General features: G+C 34.8%; 1 protein-coding gene across 29 annotated transcripts in view; it reads right to left on the minus strand.

Moving 5' to 3' along the window:
- The window catches only part of CADPS2 (calcium dependent secretion activator 2), a 568,050-nt gene that overhangs the window by 171,428 nt on the left and 379,681 nt on the right, over positions 1-16,941 (minus strand). For all 29 annotated transcript variants that reach the window (NM_001363398.2, NM_001009571.4, XM_047421032.1 and 26 more), the window contains 2 exons: positions 1,474-1,582; positions 243-443 (listed from right to left, as the gene is read on the minus strand). In NM_001363398.2, coding sequence (NP_001350327.1) covers positions 243-443; positions 1,474-1,582 — 310 coding nt within the window. The remainder of the gene's footprint in view (positions 1-242; positions 444-1,473; positions 1,583-16,941) is intronic.

Raw genomic sequence — 16,941 nt, forward strand, 5'->3', positions numbered from 1 at the left:
CTTGAGATTTCTAGAAATACCCTAATGCTTGACAAATCCATGATTGGAAACCACACGTACCATTTACTCCAGATTTATGTGAAAAATTAGATAAGTGATTATGTGACTACTAATATGAACTATTTTCATTTAATTAGGAATCAATTAATGATGTAAACTATAATACTGAATACATTTGCCTCAATTTTATATCTTATTAAGGCTATTAATTGATAATCAAATTATTTTTTAACAAAACTTACAAAGCTGAGCATCTGCATGGAGAGTTCCTCCTTTAGGATTCAGTTTCTGGGTTTGAATTGCAGGAACTGGTTTATATGATTGACCTGTGGCCCTATACATGGCTTGAACCCATAATATTCTGTCCTGTTCATCATCACTGGCAAAGATTACAGTATCTCCTTCTTTAACAGCATTAAAGAACATACAACCACCCTGAAGGCCTGTGGAGGAAACAAAAAGACATCATTAAAAATTTATAGGATTGGCAGATTTTCGTCTCATTCACTAACTGACCTCATGGAAAAGAATGGCTTTGATATTAGCAGTTAAATGTTTTAAAGAATATTTAGTTTAAAGGATCAAATCCACAATCAAAGATTTGAAGAAAAACAATAACAAAAAGGGTTAAGCTCCCATATTACCTCAGAAATAAAAAATAACCTAGGGAAACAGTCCATGACAGAGTATCATTCTACAAGACATATAAACACACTCCATGGAAATGCATAGCACAATCTGATATTTCATGCCAGAGAAAGAAGTTTTATCTGTTGGCATAGTTGCCATTCTATACATGGGAAAAATATATAATGATTAAGACAAAAATGATATTTCATATTGCATGTATTTTATCTTTTATAAAATTCTTTCACATAATATTTTGCATTTTAAGTGAACAATTAGTTAATATAGTCATAAATTTCTATTTCTTAATCTCTATTCACCAATATTTAATCATTATGTTTATTAATGTCTACATTTCTTGATCTTAGATATTAATGTCATTAATATTCATTCATTCAATTTTTTAAATATCAGGTGTCCAATACTCTTTCCAGTATTAATATGAAGGGAGAGAGAGAAGTACAAGCATGTATTGTTGGGGAGAAAATTAGTAGTTATAATATAATAATTCATTTGCCATTTCTTTGCCTATTTCTGCTATAACTTTTGCTTTCCCGCAAAGAAGTTTCTGAAAACATTGTAATATCTCACCTAATTATTCCATTACAGTGAATTTTACACATTTCAATCCTGCGCTAAAATAATAACAAATATGATGAAATATGGCTAAAAATACAAGCCCTCCAAAAGAGATAATTTGAATCTCATAAAGTCTTGCCCAGGTATATAAGTGAAATATGCACCCTATTCATCGAGAGGGGTTTAAATTGTAGAACAGACAAAGGATATTTATAAGAATTCCATGCATACATACATGGCAGGAAAAGTGATTCAATTAAGATTTACCTGGGTGGGGATCGGTATAATCCACAGTATAGCCTTCAAGCTGCATTAATTCTTGTGGTTCAGACTTCTTTTCTCTATAACTGCACATAGCAAAGGTATATTGGCTAACCTGCTCGAGAAAAAAAAAGTTTACAGATTAGTCACATTAAATTTACCAAATTTAACTTTCGTTTTTTTATCAAAATACTCTTTTCCCAATTAAAAATATAACATAATTTGCACATAAATTATTAAATTTTAGCATTTTTCAAAACCTAGCTCAGAGATTCAAGCACCTTTCGTTTGTCAGCTTGCATTTGTTGGGTCTTCTATGCCTATGATCCAGCATTCCCCAAGACAATGATTTGGTGCTCAAGCTTCTATATTAATAGAAGCACCATAAATAAGTATTCATGTTGATACGTTTGGGATCATTAGCCTATTAAGAAGATAAATAGCCTTCTTTCACTTCATGGTTTCTTACAGCTTTTAATATGCTAACGTAGGCTATAAATCTCTAAGAGTAAGATTAGGAGTAGTCCTAGATTTACATAAACATGGGACCACATTTTCAAGCATACTTATATCAAGACTTTTAACAAAGTAAAAAAAGATCTCACGCCTGTAATCCCAGCACTTTGGGATGCTGAGGCGGGCAGATCACGAGGTCAGGAAATCGAGACCATCGTGTCTAACACGGTGAAACCCCATCTCTATTAAAAATACAAAAAATTAGCCAGGCGTGGTGGCACACACCAGTAGTCCCAGCAACTCTGGAGGCTGAGGTAGAAGAATTGCTTGAACCTGGGAGGCTGAGGTTGTAGTGAGACGAGATCGCGCCATTGCACCCCAGCCTGGACGACAGAGCGAGACTCCATCTCAAAAATAAATAAATGAATAAATAAATAAATTAATTAATTAATTAAATTAAATTAAAATAAATCTCACTAAAAGTTGAGAATTTAGTGGCCACATAATGAAAACCTCAGGCAGGGCCAGGATGGAGTAAATTTTGGGCAGCCAGTGACAACATTGCCAAGATCTGGTCTGCCTCTTAATTCTTCTTGTCTTTTGGAATTGGCCTCATTTCCTTGTGCTAAAGTCTTACTAGAACCATAGCTGCTCTGAAGTCACCTCCCTGAGTGTGTCTGCTTGGATCACAAGGCCATATTTGAACAAAATACTGTAAATGGGGAATGTTTCATTAGCCCAGTTTGGGTCAAGAGCTCATGTATGCAGCAAAGACGTCAGATGCTACAACAGGCAGGCTCTTTCCAAAGTCCCCCAACAGAGATAGAGGGAGGTTCTGTTCCCAGCAGGAGAAAAGGCTGTTTGGTGGATATACATCTAAATTGCAAAATATCCTGCAACACAGGGTCCATGGAAGATAGTTTGGTTAGTGTATTTTTTTTCTTTTTTTCTTTTTTGAGACAGGTTCTCACATCGTCACCCAGGCTGGAGGACAGTGGCACGATTATGGCTCATTGCAGCCTCCACCTTTGGTGATCCAGTGATCCTCCCACTCAGCCTCCTGAATAGCTGGACCACAGGCACATCTACCATGCCCAGCCAATTTTTAAAAAATATTTATAGAGAAAAGGTCTCTGTCTGTTACCTGGGCTTGGTTAATGTTAATTATTTCCTTTTTCTGTTTTTAAACATAAAATGAAACTAAGGAAACATAGTACCTTTCAATAGACAGTGATTACTTCAATAGGACCCCAAAATAAACTAATTATGAAAGACAGAGAAAATATGGGCTACATTAAAATCAAGGTATTCTCTTCATTTAAAGGGTATCATGAAGAAAGTAAAAAAGGCAAAGCAACAGACTAAGAGAAGATGCATGCAAAACATATATTCAATCAATAACTCACACCAGAAATATAAAGAACTATAAATCAACAGGGAAAACTCAGAACACATGTTGGAAAAACGGGCAAAAGATGACTACTCTTTTTTATTTTCACATCCACTCTCTGTACCTGAGGCCAAAAAGAGAGGTTTGAGGAAGTGACAGGTGTAAGATGCAGGGATCAACATTGTAACTTTTAAAAGGAGAAAATATATTTTCTGTTCTGAGAAAAGAGGAGCTCTTTTCTCTGCTCCTCTCTGCTCTTCTACAAAGTAAAAGGCGCAGGTCATTGTGAAAATTACCATGTTAGAGACTGCTAAGTTGCATGACAAATTGTGGATTTAAAACTGAAAATTAACACAAAGATAACATTTCATTAGAAAAAATGCTGATTAGATAAGCAAAAATGAAAATGGTTACTAGTACACAGTGTGGGTGACAGAATGAAAACTGGTGTGGACTTTCTGGAAGGCAATCTGGCAACAGGTTCTATGATATACTTACGTTTTACGTACATCACAGTACATAGGTACAAAGATGTAACACATTTTTGCCAAGCGTGGTTATGTTTAATCTTTTTTTTTTTTTTTTTTGCCAATTTTGATGAGTGGGAAATACTTTCACTGTTATTTGAGTTTACAATTCCTATCACAATAGGACTGAGAATTTTCCGTTATATTCGATAAACATTTGAAGTTTTCTTTTCTGTGAGTTTCCTAATCAAATAGTTTGCTGTTTTTCTAATATATCATTTCATCATTTGTACCCTTCTCTATAATCAATTTTGTCAGAGGTTTATTCACTTTTTTAACGTGTTAACATGACTAGGCTATAGTATCCAGTTATTTAATCAAACGCTAATTTAAATGTGGCTGGGAAAGTACTTCGTAGAAATGGTGAACATCTACAATCAGTTGACTTTAAGTAAAGGAGATTATCGTCGATATGTGGGTGGGTCTCATATAAGCAGCTGAAGGCCCTAAGAGCAAAAACTAAGGTTTTCTGAAAAAGAAGACATTTTCCCTCAGCTTCTGCTGAGGCAGCACCAGCTTCTGCAGGAGTTCCAGCCTGCTGGCCTTTCTGGAGAACTCTTACTGATACAGTAGCAAAAGGCTGACTATTTTTTATGCATTCCTTTGGTCTAGCAAGGAACGTATCTCAAGGAAACAAATGGAGAAGTACTCAAAGATGTATATGCATTGTGTTCACTGCAGTATTGCATATAAGCGGTTTGGTTAAAATATATTATGGCATGACTATATAGGATAATACTATGAGACATTAAAAGAGACGTGACAGATTTTTTTCTTAACATGGGAACCTAAGATATAACATTTCTAAGATATAACATAAAGAGCAATTTAAAAGCAAAAATGTAGACTGTGATTCTGTGGGTAAACATTATATATATATATGAATTAAAATATATATTAAAATATTTACAGTGATTATTACAGGATGGTGAAATGATAGGTTATTTTATTTTATAGTGTTGAGTTTTTTAAAAGAATATACATTATTTTAAATCAGAAAAAAGAATAAAGTTATTTCTATTTTGAAGAATAAAAACATTAAGCCTTAATGGGAGAGATTGAGGCCAGTATCTTGTGATACTTGTGGTTCTTGCTACACTAAATTTTCCTTGTGTCTTTCCTCATCTTACAGACAGTCAAATTTACTTTTTCCCTTGCATATGTCTAAGGTTTACAAATGAAAGTCAGTTGCTCCCATAAGGGTTTTTTTTTTTTATTTTTTGGTAATCACTTAAAGGTTTCAGTTTCCTTGTGTTAAAAGGTATAATTGTGTGGGTGTTTTTGGGGGTAAGGGTTAAGGGGTTGGAGGTGGGGGTGTTGAGAGGTAAACAATAACGGTCCAACTGTATTTGTTCTAAAAAGAAGTCCTTTCTCTTACTCTAGAAAAATAACTTAGTTCAAAGTTCCCCTATTCTTTCATAAAGCTATTTTACACAGCATTATCTTAAAATATTATGAAATATCTCCAACATAAAGAAAAGTACAATAATACACTAACATGTATATATTCATCATTCGGCTTTGTTGAATGGTAATTTCTTAGAGATACATATGCTTTAAAGTGTCTTTTTTAAAAAAGGACAGATTCAATTAATGCCTATACATACTCACCCAAGACAATTTCCTTTCTCTTCTCAGAGATAAACACCATGATGACTTTTCTGTTTATTATATTATTTCCATGACGTTTTGAAATGTGTACCACATACAAGAAAATCGATAAACATCAAGTACTTTTTGCATGTTTCCAAACTTCATATGAATATATCATACATATTATTCTGCAACTTTCTTCCCCAAAAGTTCAATGCTTCTGATGCTTAACCATCTTGATATAAATATTGTTACTTGAATTGTCACACTTTAACCACTATCCTAGTGATGTCCTTCACTTTTTTTCACTTGTCCTTACAAACAATGCCATGATGGACATTCTTGTACGTCTTGTCTTCTTGCTCACATATGTGACAGCTTCTCTAGTACCACTTCAAGGAGTGGAACTGCTAGGTTGTTGGGTGCACAGATCTTCATCTTTACTGAATGTTGCCTAGCTGCTTTCCAATTTGTACATACTATATATACCTGTGGTATATGAGCACTCCAGATATAATATTAATACATCTTTACCAAGCTTGGTATTTTAAATCTTTTTATTTTTTGCCAACTTTGATGGGTGGGAAGTGGTATTTCACTATTATTTGAGTTTACAATTCTTATTACCAATAGGACTAAGAATATTCTCTTCTGTTTATTAGTCACTTGGGGGTTTTGTCTTCCTTCCTGATGAAATAATTTCCTCATTTTTGAATGTATCATTTAGCCATTTTATACCATTTTCCACAATCAATTTTGCCAGAGATTTATTCACCTTTTTAATGTTTTCGAGAAATGTTATTGCATTTTGTTAATCCTCTCTGTTGTTTTTCATTTCCTTAATTTCTGCCATCTTTCTTATCTCTTCATTTGGGATATTTATCTCTTTATTTATTTATTTATTTATTGAGACAGAGTCTTGCTCTGTAGCCCAGGCTGGAGTACAGCTGCACAATCTCAGCTCACTGCAACCTCCACCTCCTGGGTTCAGTCAATACTCCTGCCTCAGCTTCCTGAGTAGCTGGGATCACAGGTGTGCGCTACCGTATCTGGCTAACTGTTTCTGTTTTTAGTATAGATGAGGTTTCACCATGTTGGCCAGGCTGGTCTTCAAGTCCTGACTTCCAGTAATCCACCTGCCTTGGCCTCCCAAAATGCTGGGATTATGGCATGAGTCACCACGCCTGGCCTTGATTGTTTTTTTAAACTCATATAATTAGCTTATTCATTTTTAATTCATTTTTAATATATGCATTTATGTTTATTCTAAGTTCATATTAGCCTCATCTCACAAGTAGCATTTTTATGAGTTCTGTTCCAAATATTTTTCATTTTTATGATTTGTTTTTTATGTTGGAGCTACTTAGAAGTATGTTTTTAAGTTTGGCTTTGTGGTTCTATTTTTGGTTTTTAAATTAATTTCATTGTTATCAGAATAATTCTGAATCTTAGTATTTTTGAGACATGTTCTGCTTAACACATGACTAGTTTTTTAATCAGTGTTTTGTTTGCTTAAAAAGAGTGCATGTCTTGTAATTATTATTCAGTGATTATTCACGTCCATTAGGTCAAATTTACTAATTGTCAAATATTCTATATCTGATATTCTTTTCTGATGTAAAAGTATTGAGAAATGTTAAAATTTCCCATCAAGATTATCTCTCTGTGGATTCTTCATGCAATTCTCTTAAATGTCTATATATTTTAAAGAAATAATCTCATATATATACCTGGGATTGTTACTTCTTTCTCGGACTGTTCTGTCTTTCTGGTAACTTGTTCTATTTGTATTTATGCAGTGAGTATTTTAAAAATCTGATACTGCTTTTTGCCTTGAAGTCTATCTTCTTGTACAGTCACAAAACTATACAATCTTTCTTTTGTTTAGTATGCATCTGGTAAATTTAAAAAAAAATCTCTTCAGTCTCAATTATTCTGTGTTATATTTTAGATCTCTATGAACAACAACTGGGGTTTTTAAAGCCCTGAAAATCTAGTCTTCTAACAAGATTTATTTTAAAGACAAGCTATATTTGCTGTACATGCTGATATATTTGGATTTATTTCTATTATCTTATCTTGCCCTTTGTATTTGCCATGCCTCTTTTTCTTTCATTCCCTGTCTCTATTAAACATTAACAAAATCTCCCTATTTCCTCAACAGTATAGAAACTATATATTTCTTTTCTCTCACTGATTCCTTAAATCTTGTTTTTAAGTCTCCTCCTGAATCCAGGAAACTTTGAGTGCTTTACTTCCATTACCCATTCCCATCTGTTAACTCAGTCCTCATTATATTAGTTCTACCTTATTTTAGTAATGTTTAGTATATTAGCATTTAGTAATAGAAATTCATTATTAAAGTATATGATCTTAACAAGTCAATATTTATTTATATTTGCCCTTGGGTTTACTCATTTTCTTGCTGATGACTGCTTCTTGACTCGCACTCTGTCATTCTGTGTTCAATTTCTTTCTTCCTTTAATTTGAAAATATATCCTTTTGAAATATCTGAATATTTGAAAATATGTCTTTAATTTGTTCTTACTCAGGCGTAATGGTTTAGTTACTTACATAGTGTTTTAGCCCAGCAATCCTATCAGTAATTTTGAAGATATTCCATTGTCAGAAGGCTTATACATCCATGTGGAAAAGACTTATGAAAGTTCAACTGCAGTTCTCCTCTTGTAATTTGCTTTTTTTTGAGACATCTCACTTGGTGGCCCAGGTTGGAAGGCAGTGGCACGAACTCGGCTCACTGCAACCTCCTCCTCAAGCCATTCTTGTGCCTCAGCTTCCCAAGTAGCTGGGATTACAGGCATTTGCCACCAGGCCTGGCTAATTTTTGTATTTTTAATAGAGACGGGGGTTCACCACGTTGGCTAGGCTGGTCTCAAACTCCTGACCTCAAGTGATCTGCCCACCTTGGCCTTGCAAAGTGCTGAGATTACAGGTGTGAGCCACCATACTCAGCCTATTTGCCTCTTCTTTATGATTGTTCTTACATGTTCTCTTAATCTTTGTCATTTTGCACTTTCATCATGAAATTTCTAGGAGTTAAAGAGTTATGGTTAATACTTATTGTATTTCTTATATCTGATAATTCATGACTATATCAATTTAAAAATCTTCCCATTATCTGTTTAAATGTTGCCTCTGTCACATTTTTCCTTTATTTAATGCCTTTATTCAAATCCTATCAGAAATAATCTTGAAGCTTTCTTTCCTCCATATCTTTTAATTTCTTTATGTATATTTTTTTCACCTCTTCATTTTGAGTTCTAGGCAGCTTCCTCAGATTCTAACCAATATTCCATCATTAATTACATGACAAATTTTCTCTTCAGATGTGTCTAACCTATTGCTTACCCTGTCTATGGAGGTTCTAATTTTAGTGACTGTGTTTTGAAGTTTTGGAAGTTCTATATGATCCTTTTCCAAATCTGCTGGTTCACTTTGCATACTGTTATTTTCTTTTTTGTTATTGTTTTTTATTATATTTTTGAACCTGCTTATAAATTTCATCACCTTAAATAAAATTATTTTATAATTTATGTATGTGAGAGCTGTATTGCTGAAATTCTTAGTGGTGTAAATGATCAATTTAGTTTTGTAATTTTAGATTGTGAGCTAATAATAAACACAGTGTTATCTCTGGATATCCTACAAAGCCTAGCTTAAGGGCTCACCTTCCAATAAAAAGCAATTTTTAAAAATGCCAGCTGCTCCATGGTCATCACCAATCCAGGATTGCTTTTTATGTTAATTTCCTAGCTTAGGTATTTCCCTTATATTTAATAAAATAAACTGGGACTTTGACATTCTTTAAGTACAAGCTAACAGTTAAAAATTCTGAGGGTTAATTTTCCTGCATATTCAGAGCTTCAGCTCAAACACAAGATTAATTGCCCAAGGGCAGATTTTTTTTCTAGCCCATCATTTCACAGAGATCTAGTTCTTTTAAGTTCTTTATAAGATCTCTGTTCCAAATACCCACTTTAAGAATACCTCATGGTACATCTTCTTTCTCTGCATGAGCAATAAAATCTCAAGTGCCTACCTAACAACATCAACATCCACTAATTTCAAACTCCAGCACTATTGTAGCCACAATGTCAACTCACAATCATAACCATTCTAGGTGTTTGTGGTCTCTAAAGTTTTTCTTTTTTTTCCTTCACTTGACCTACGTATTTAAAAACATGGGCACTATATTTTATTCGGCATTTCTAGGTATTGGCCAAAAAGGAATTCTTAATATTACCTTTAAGACTAGCCAAAACTACCAATTTAAATCTTTTGATCAATCCTTTAATTTTGCTTTATGAACTTTCCAAATAGCAAGTCTAACTTTTATATGTATGAGAAAAACTGTGTAAGTCCTTTTCACTACATTTCAGAAAAGAAAAGAAGAAACTATGACGATGGGGTTAGGGTATGCAAGTAAACACACTGTGTGAAATGTGTCTTATGTATCCTTAAGTTATAATTATTCAACACCAGGGGACCTCTACAAAGTAATACTTTTATCATCAACTATTGAAATAATAGAAAATATATTGGGCAGCTAATTCATAAGTTTCTCATCTTCTTCTCTTATTTGGAAGAATCTTAAAAACCTGACTAAAAAAAGTCACCTGACACATCACCACATGAACAATCTGGAACCTGCTGGGAGAGAGATGAAGGGCATGGGAAGGTCTGCCTTCCCTGCCTGGCTCACAAACATTTCCATCAATGACTAGCTGCAATCTATAGCTACCGCTGTGTAAAGTACTCCAGACGGACCATCCAGCAAGACTCACCCACTTTAATTCAGTTCTTCACCTGAACTGCCAAGCAGAAAAATATCACCTTTATGTTTAAAATTCCATTTCTATATATTTCTCAATCTAATAAAACCCTACTCCTTTTTCCAAGTTTTTAACAAATTTGTCCCCTTTACCATTCTAACCTTGTTTGTCATTTTTTTGTTTCTGACTCAGTGTCTTCATAATACGTATAAAATGGCTTCCACAGTGTGTGGCACAGAGTCACTGCTTCTGTATTTTGGCACGAAATTTATTTCAATTCAGTAAATATTCTGCCATATTTGAAAATGTACTATTTTTGAAAGTATAAGCCACATATTTATCGTCTTAAAAAAAAACTAACAGTTTAACAGCACACATAACTCAACTTGTACTCTTAAATGTATCCTCTTCCACTTACCATAACAAATGACATTTGATTTTTAAATGTCATACACTCCACTGAAAACACTCAAGAAACAGTAAACATCCCCTCATGCAAGTAGGCACCCCATTATGTTACGGACACAGATGTCAGAGCCATGGAGAAACCAGGCTTACCCTTTCAGGATACACAGATAGCTATGATGTGACCATAGTTATAAGAAAGCCATCAAAATACCAAGGAAATTTGGAAACAAACAAAATTAACAAAGAATCAAAAACAATAACTTAGGAAACAACTAATTAGGGAGTTATTATTCCCATTACAAAGACACTCTTACCTTCACAAAAATATCTGACTTATGTAAGTGGCAAGATATTTTTATATTTTATATATTAGTACTTGGAGAAAAAGGTAAAGCAAAAATATTGGAAGGTATTGTGAACTGAAAACTAGTCAGGAAAAAGTGGTGTTTTTGGAATTGTAATGGAACATAATAAAATGTATAATTTAATTCTAAATCTAGGCCAGGCACAGTGGCTTGTACCTGGAATCCCAGCACTTTGGGAGGCTGAGGTGAGATGATCACTTGAGGCTAGGAGTTCAAGACTAGCGTAGGCAACTAAACGAGACCCCCATCTTTTAAAAACTTTAAAAATCAGCTAGGCATGATGGCATATGCCTGTAGTCCCAGCTACTTGGGAGGATAAGGTGGGAGGATCACTTAAGTCCAGGGATTCAAGGTGGCAGTGAGTCATGTTGGCACCACTGCACTCTAGTCTGGGTGACAGAGTGAACTCTGTCTCAAAAACAAAACAAAAAAAACATTATTACATATGATAGAATTATAGATTTTGATTATGTAGCAAGGATTTGAAGATATTACATTTGGAAATTTAAAACTATGATTTTTAGAGGATTCAAAACTCACTAAATCATAAGTAGTTAAATAAAGAACCAAGCTTCACTGAAAAGAAAATGAAATATTATACTCTAAGTAATTCTCTCACACTAGCATTGAGAGACAAGGTCTGGGCCTTTGAGATTGAGGTCTAAACTCCAGCTTTCATGGATGAGGGAAGTAACTTTCCAAGGTCACCCAGATAAAAAGGGTCACCTTGGCCAGGCATGGTGGTACATGCCTGTAATCCCAGCACTTTGGGAGGCCGAGGCAGGCAGATCACGAGATCAGGAGATCGAGACCATCCTGGCTAACACCGTAGAAAATGTACCGTAGAGACGGTAGTGAAACCCCATCTCTACTAAAAATACAAAAAATTAGCCAGGCGTGGTGGCACACGCCTGTAGTCCCAGCTACTCGGGAGGCTGAGGCAGGAGAATCACTTGAACCTGGGAGGTAGAGGTTGCAGTGAGCTGAGATCGCACCACTGCACTCCAGCCTGGGCAACAAGGCAAGACTCCGTCTCAAAAAAAAAAAAAAAAAAAAAAAAGGAAAAAAAAAGTCACCTTGAGTCTAGAACACAACTCTCTGTAGTTCAATGGATATTCTTTCCAATATATCATATTATTTTATACATTCTCATTCTGAAACTTAAAAACAACTGTATTCCCGAATAGCAAGCCAATTACCTCTTAATTTCTGGCAAAGTTATTATTTCAGATAGCACTGAGTCCATGATCAAAAATCACTAAAGGTGTTGGAGAAAGAGAAAAGTGAATTGAATAGCAAATAATTCAAGGTAGTACGCTTTTATTCTCTTTTCTCAGGTATGTGTTCAATAAATCACCATCATTTGTTTTATAGTAATTGTTAATATCCTTAACATAAAATTGTAATCTTTGGAGGTATTTAATAATTTTTCTCTTAAATTTCACTAACTAGGTCTGAAATTAATATTGTCATCCCTTTAGTTTTTTCATTCTGAGAAGCTGACTGTTAACAGGTCCATTTAACTTATTTATAATAAGAACTAATATATTTTGTCTTGCTTTTTTTTCCTCTTTATCTTCTATTATTTGGTAATTAAAGTTTTCTTAGCATTTAATTTTTATACTATAATAGTTTCTTTAAAAGTTTTAAAGACATAACCCATATTTTCTCTATTTATTGAAAAACAAAATAATTTTTTCACTGGCTGTATATAACATGAGGACTAGAACCTGTTTTATTGTTCCATTCATTATTTTGACAAAATCTAGAGGTTAGGATTCACATTTTGTAATAATTACTTAATTATATTTCTATAACCTATCTCAGGAATAATTTTTCATGTTTAATTGAGCCGCCAAAATATTTTACAAGAATAAAATAAACCATATGCGTTTATTTCATTATTATTCTAATTCTTCTACATCTTAAGTTTCACATGTCTGAGATCATACTCATTTATCTCTCAAATGTCAGGAATTCTCCTTTAAATATGTTCAGCAATGTGAACTGTATTTTTTTCTTTTTTTGAGCTTTTTGGTTATAGAAACTTTTTATTAAGTCCAATTTTATAGATTTTTTTAATTGTAGAGAAGCATGACAGAGTGACCAAGATTTTCAGCCATAACACTTATTTCATAAGAATATCTTGCTGGGAAAGCACAATAGAAATAAGACTTCAAGGAGAAAAAAACTTTTTTTTTTTTTTTTTTTGAGACGGGGTCTCGCTCTGTCGCCCAGGCTGGAGTGCAGTGGCACTATCTCGGCTCACTGTAACCTCTGCCTCCTGGGTTCAAGCGATTCTCCTGCCTCAGTCTCAGGAGTAGCTGGGATTACAGGCACGTGCCACCACACCTGGCTGGCTAATTTTTGTATTTTTAGTAGAGATGGGGTTTCGCCATGCTGGCCAGGCTGGTCTTGAACTCCTGACCTTGTGATCTGCTCGCCTCGGCCTCCCAAAATGCTGGGATTACAGGTGTGAGCCACTGTGCACGGCCAATACAATTTTCAATGATTGCAAGTAGATATAAAATCACAAAAGTATTTAGATTCTATTGAACACGTTACTGAATGATTTAGTGGTTTTTATCTTAGAAACTAGTATCTACTGCAACTATTTAAACTCATGATGAAAGACTTAGGAGGATGCACAGTTGTATAAAATTATTTTAAGGGACACATTGGCAAAATAGTTTAATACTAATATGATTGCTCTTTCCTATGTTGTCTTTTACAGAGATATACTCCTTTCTTGATGTCTTTTGAGATCTGTGGATTAGTCATACTAAACAAAATAGTAAGTTACTGAATTTAGTTTCTTGTGTATTTATAACCTCTGTATCTCCCCTTATGTTCTTATAAGTACTTTTTTCCTCCCTCTCATTCATTCATCCGTGCACTTATTCATTCACCAAATATTTATCATGCATCTACAGTGAATTTTTCCAGGCTTTGGGTACACAACAGTGCCTCAGAATTGGGAAAAAAAGCCATCTCATAGAGTGAGAATGGAGGAGATAAATGAATTGCAATTAGGAGGTACTGAAAATAATTTGGGTGATGAATTGTTTTGCAGGAAAACAAAGCAGAGGAAAGAGACATTAAAAGCATTCTATTTTCAATAGTGTGGTCAGAAAGGCCTCTCTGAAGACAACCATATTAAGGTATTTCAACTGGAAGTGAAGGGAAGATAAACCAGGTTTAACAGATCAATCTGCTATGTCAAATGCAAATTCCACTTTCATTTTCTCCCCTCAATTACTTACTTATCCTTATTCTTTCATACTTATTTTTGACAAGGCTTTAGAAAAATCATTTTAAGTCTTATATATCTCATTTAATTTTTCTGTAATATAAGAAAAACAATAATAGACCTTACAGGATTTTGAGAGAATTGGAGAGAACTGATGTGGGAGTACCTAGCACAATGCATGCCTGTTACACAGTGGTCTCCCCGTGAATCTAATTCAGTTGTCAGGGAGCCACCACCCTCCTCTCACTTTATTCTTTTTGAGTCTTAGAAGAATTGTTTCATGTTGGGTACAGGACACAGGTGTTACTATAACGCAGTATAGTCAGCACCTGATTGACTTGGGGATTGAACTCTCTTCAAACCACATGCTTCCACACTGTGAATGAGCTGAGGGCTGCTGACACTCCATGTTTCTGACTTCTGTCTCCTGGCCTCACTTGGCTTTCCCCACCCCTACCTTTCTTCCCACTCTCAGGGCATGTTTCTTTTATTTTTAGAGACAGGATCTCACTCTGTCACCTAGGCTGGAGTGCAGTGGTGCGATGATAGCTCACTGTAACCTCGAATTCCTGGTCTCAAGTGATCCTCCCACCTCAGCCTCCCAAGTAACTGGGACTACAGGTGCATGCCACTGTGCCCAGTTAATTAAAAAATAATACAGACATGGGGTCTCACTACGTTGTTCAGACTGGTCTCAAGCTCTCAAACTCCTGGCCTCAAGCAATCTCAGTTTCTGGAGTAGCTGGGATTATAGGTATCATCACCATGCCCAGTCCGTTTTCACAACTTTTATCAGCAAAGAAAGAACACAGTGGCTGTGTTGATGAAGATGTTTGGTGGAAGAATACGTAAATTTATAAGAAACTGAGAAAGTGAGGAAAAGTGCTAATACACCTAAATGTAGTTTTAGATACTAAATTTGTCTATTTCTAATGGACATTATCTTAATTATACATTATAATGTCTTTTAAAAATTATTGCTTTCTTAAAAACCAAATGTTGATTACTTCCAAAAGCTCTTTATATAATTAACATGTTCATATTGTCATGTGTTAAAGAGTACAGACTTGATGTGTGTAACCCACCCAAAATGCCAAAAATTTACCTGCTATTTAAGAGCTAGCCTTATAAATTAGTTGTCAAAAGACATGTGAGGTGAAATGCTTACATTAATGTGCATTTTTCTTCACATAACCTGAAGTACAACTTGAAGTTGCTGTTTTATGCTATAAGTATTGTATCTCTAGCTAGCTTTAAATGAGACAATTATTTTTTAAAAAATGCTAGAGATATAAAATTTTAAGTACCAATTTAACAAGTCTGAAGGTACAACAACAAAAATCAAGAAGTCAAAAACTTCAGGTTTAGAGGAATCACTCCATTTCTAGAGGCATGGTCACTTAAATGGCAAAGTATTGAAACATTTGCTTTTAGCTTTTAACTTCTTAAATATTTTGTTTAATATCTAAAATATCATCCAACAGACCTAGACTCTGTCATAGATAATTGGGCCTAGAGATATAACAAAGAGTACAGATGGAAGAGTAATAAAATACCAACAACTAACAGAGCTGTCACTGACAATTAGGAAATGTGAGCCATGAGACAACTGAAAAAGGTGCAATCTGGCGTTTCGAATACATCAACTCCAGAAGCTGCAACCTATTAATGCTATCTTTTGGGCTCACTGATTCCTGGTTCTGTTTCCATAAAATGTTGCCATATTTCATCCTTCTTTTAGTTCCTTTAATATCCCAAGAGATCTTACTTTTATCCATCCCCTTTGCAAGGTAATAATAAATCACATTCCCAAGGCCAGACCTAGAACAAACCCACAGGGTAAATTCAGGTGTTCCTGAATAGTACTAACACCTGTAGCTGCTGGTTTACTAGCCAGTTACCAGTTCACGGGTAATCTGGAGAAATTGTACTCAGACCTGTATCAGTTGGCACTAATAGTTAAAATATGCTGCTGAAAGATTAGCAGGGTCACCCTGCTCCCTGTGCTCCCACTTAGAGGCAGTCTTGCAGCCTCTACTCTGCCTCGTCACCACTTGCCAGGGAATTAGATAGACAACAGGTGGTTTGACCTATTCTGATCCGGTATTTGTTTTCATTTACGAGCCTACTTGTGTATTTCTGAACAAAGCTTATATAATTTACTAAATTGAAATCGAAAATCCCTTCAGTGGAAGCACAGCAATGAGAAACATTCAATATCTTTTACCCAATCCACTCTTAATAACTCTGTAAAGAATGGATTTGTTGAGAATTGGGAGATATGAACAGACTTTAATCTGGGGACAGAATTAAATCAGGTTTCAGCATCACTGCTTTTGATAGGGCACCTAAGTTGCTGTAGTACCACAAGGTATCTGCATCTGGTATACGAAACCTCCCATTTTGTCCTCAATTGCCAACCTGTGCAATACCTGTCTGTGTCCACACATGTTAAGTGCTAACTATGGGATTCTAGAGACCACAGCATTCAGGTTTGTATGTCGTATTCCTACTGCAGGGATGTTAACAGCTGGCAGCTTAGCAACTGCCACCATCTAATTTCAGTGAAGATTAAGGCTTTAAAAATCCCTAGCTGGAAATGTTCTTGGCAGAGGCCAAAGGTGCTGCTAGAGTTATTTAAAAAAAAAAAAAAAACAAACAAACTACACCAGAGCTGAATTTAATCATGAA

This window comes from Homo sapiens, chromosome 7, assembly GCF_000001405.40.
Source record: "Homo sapiens chromosome 7, GRCh38.p14 Primary Assembly".
Classification (NCBI taxonomy): domain Eukaryota; kingdom Metazoa; phylum Chordata; class Mammalia; order Primates; family Hominidae; genus Homo; species Homo sapiens.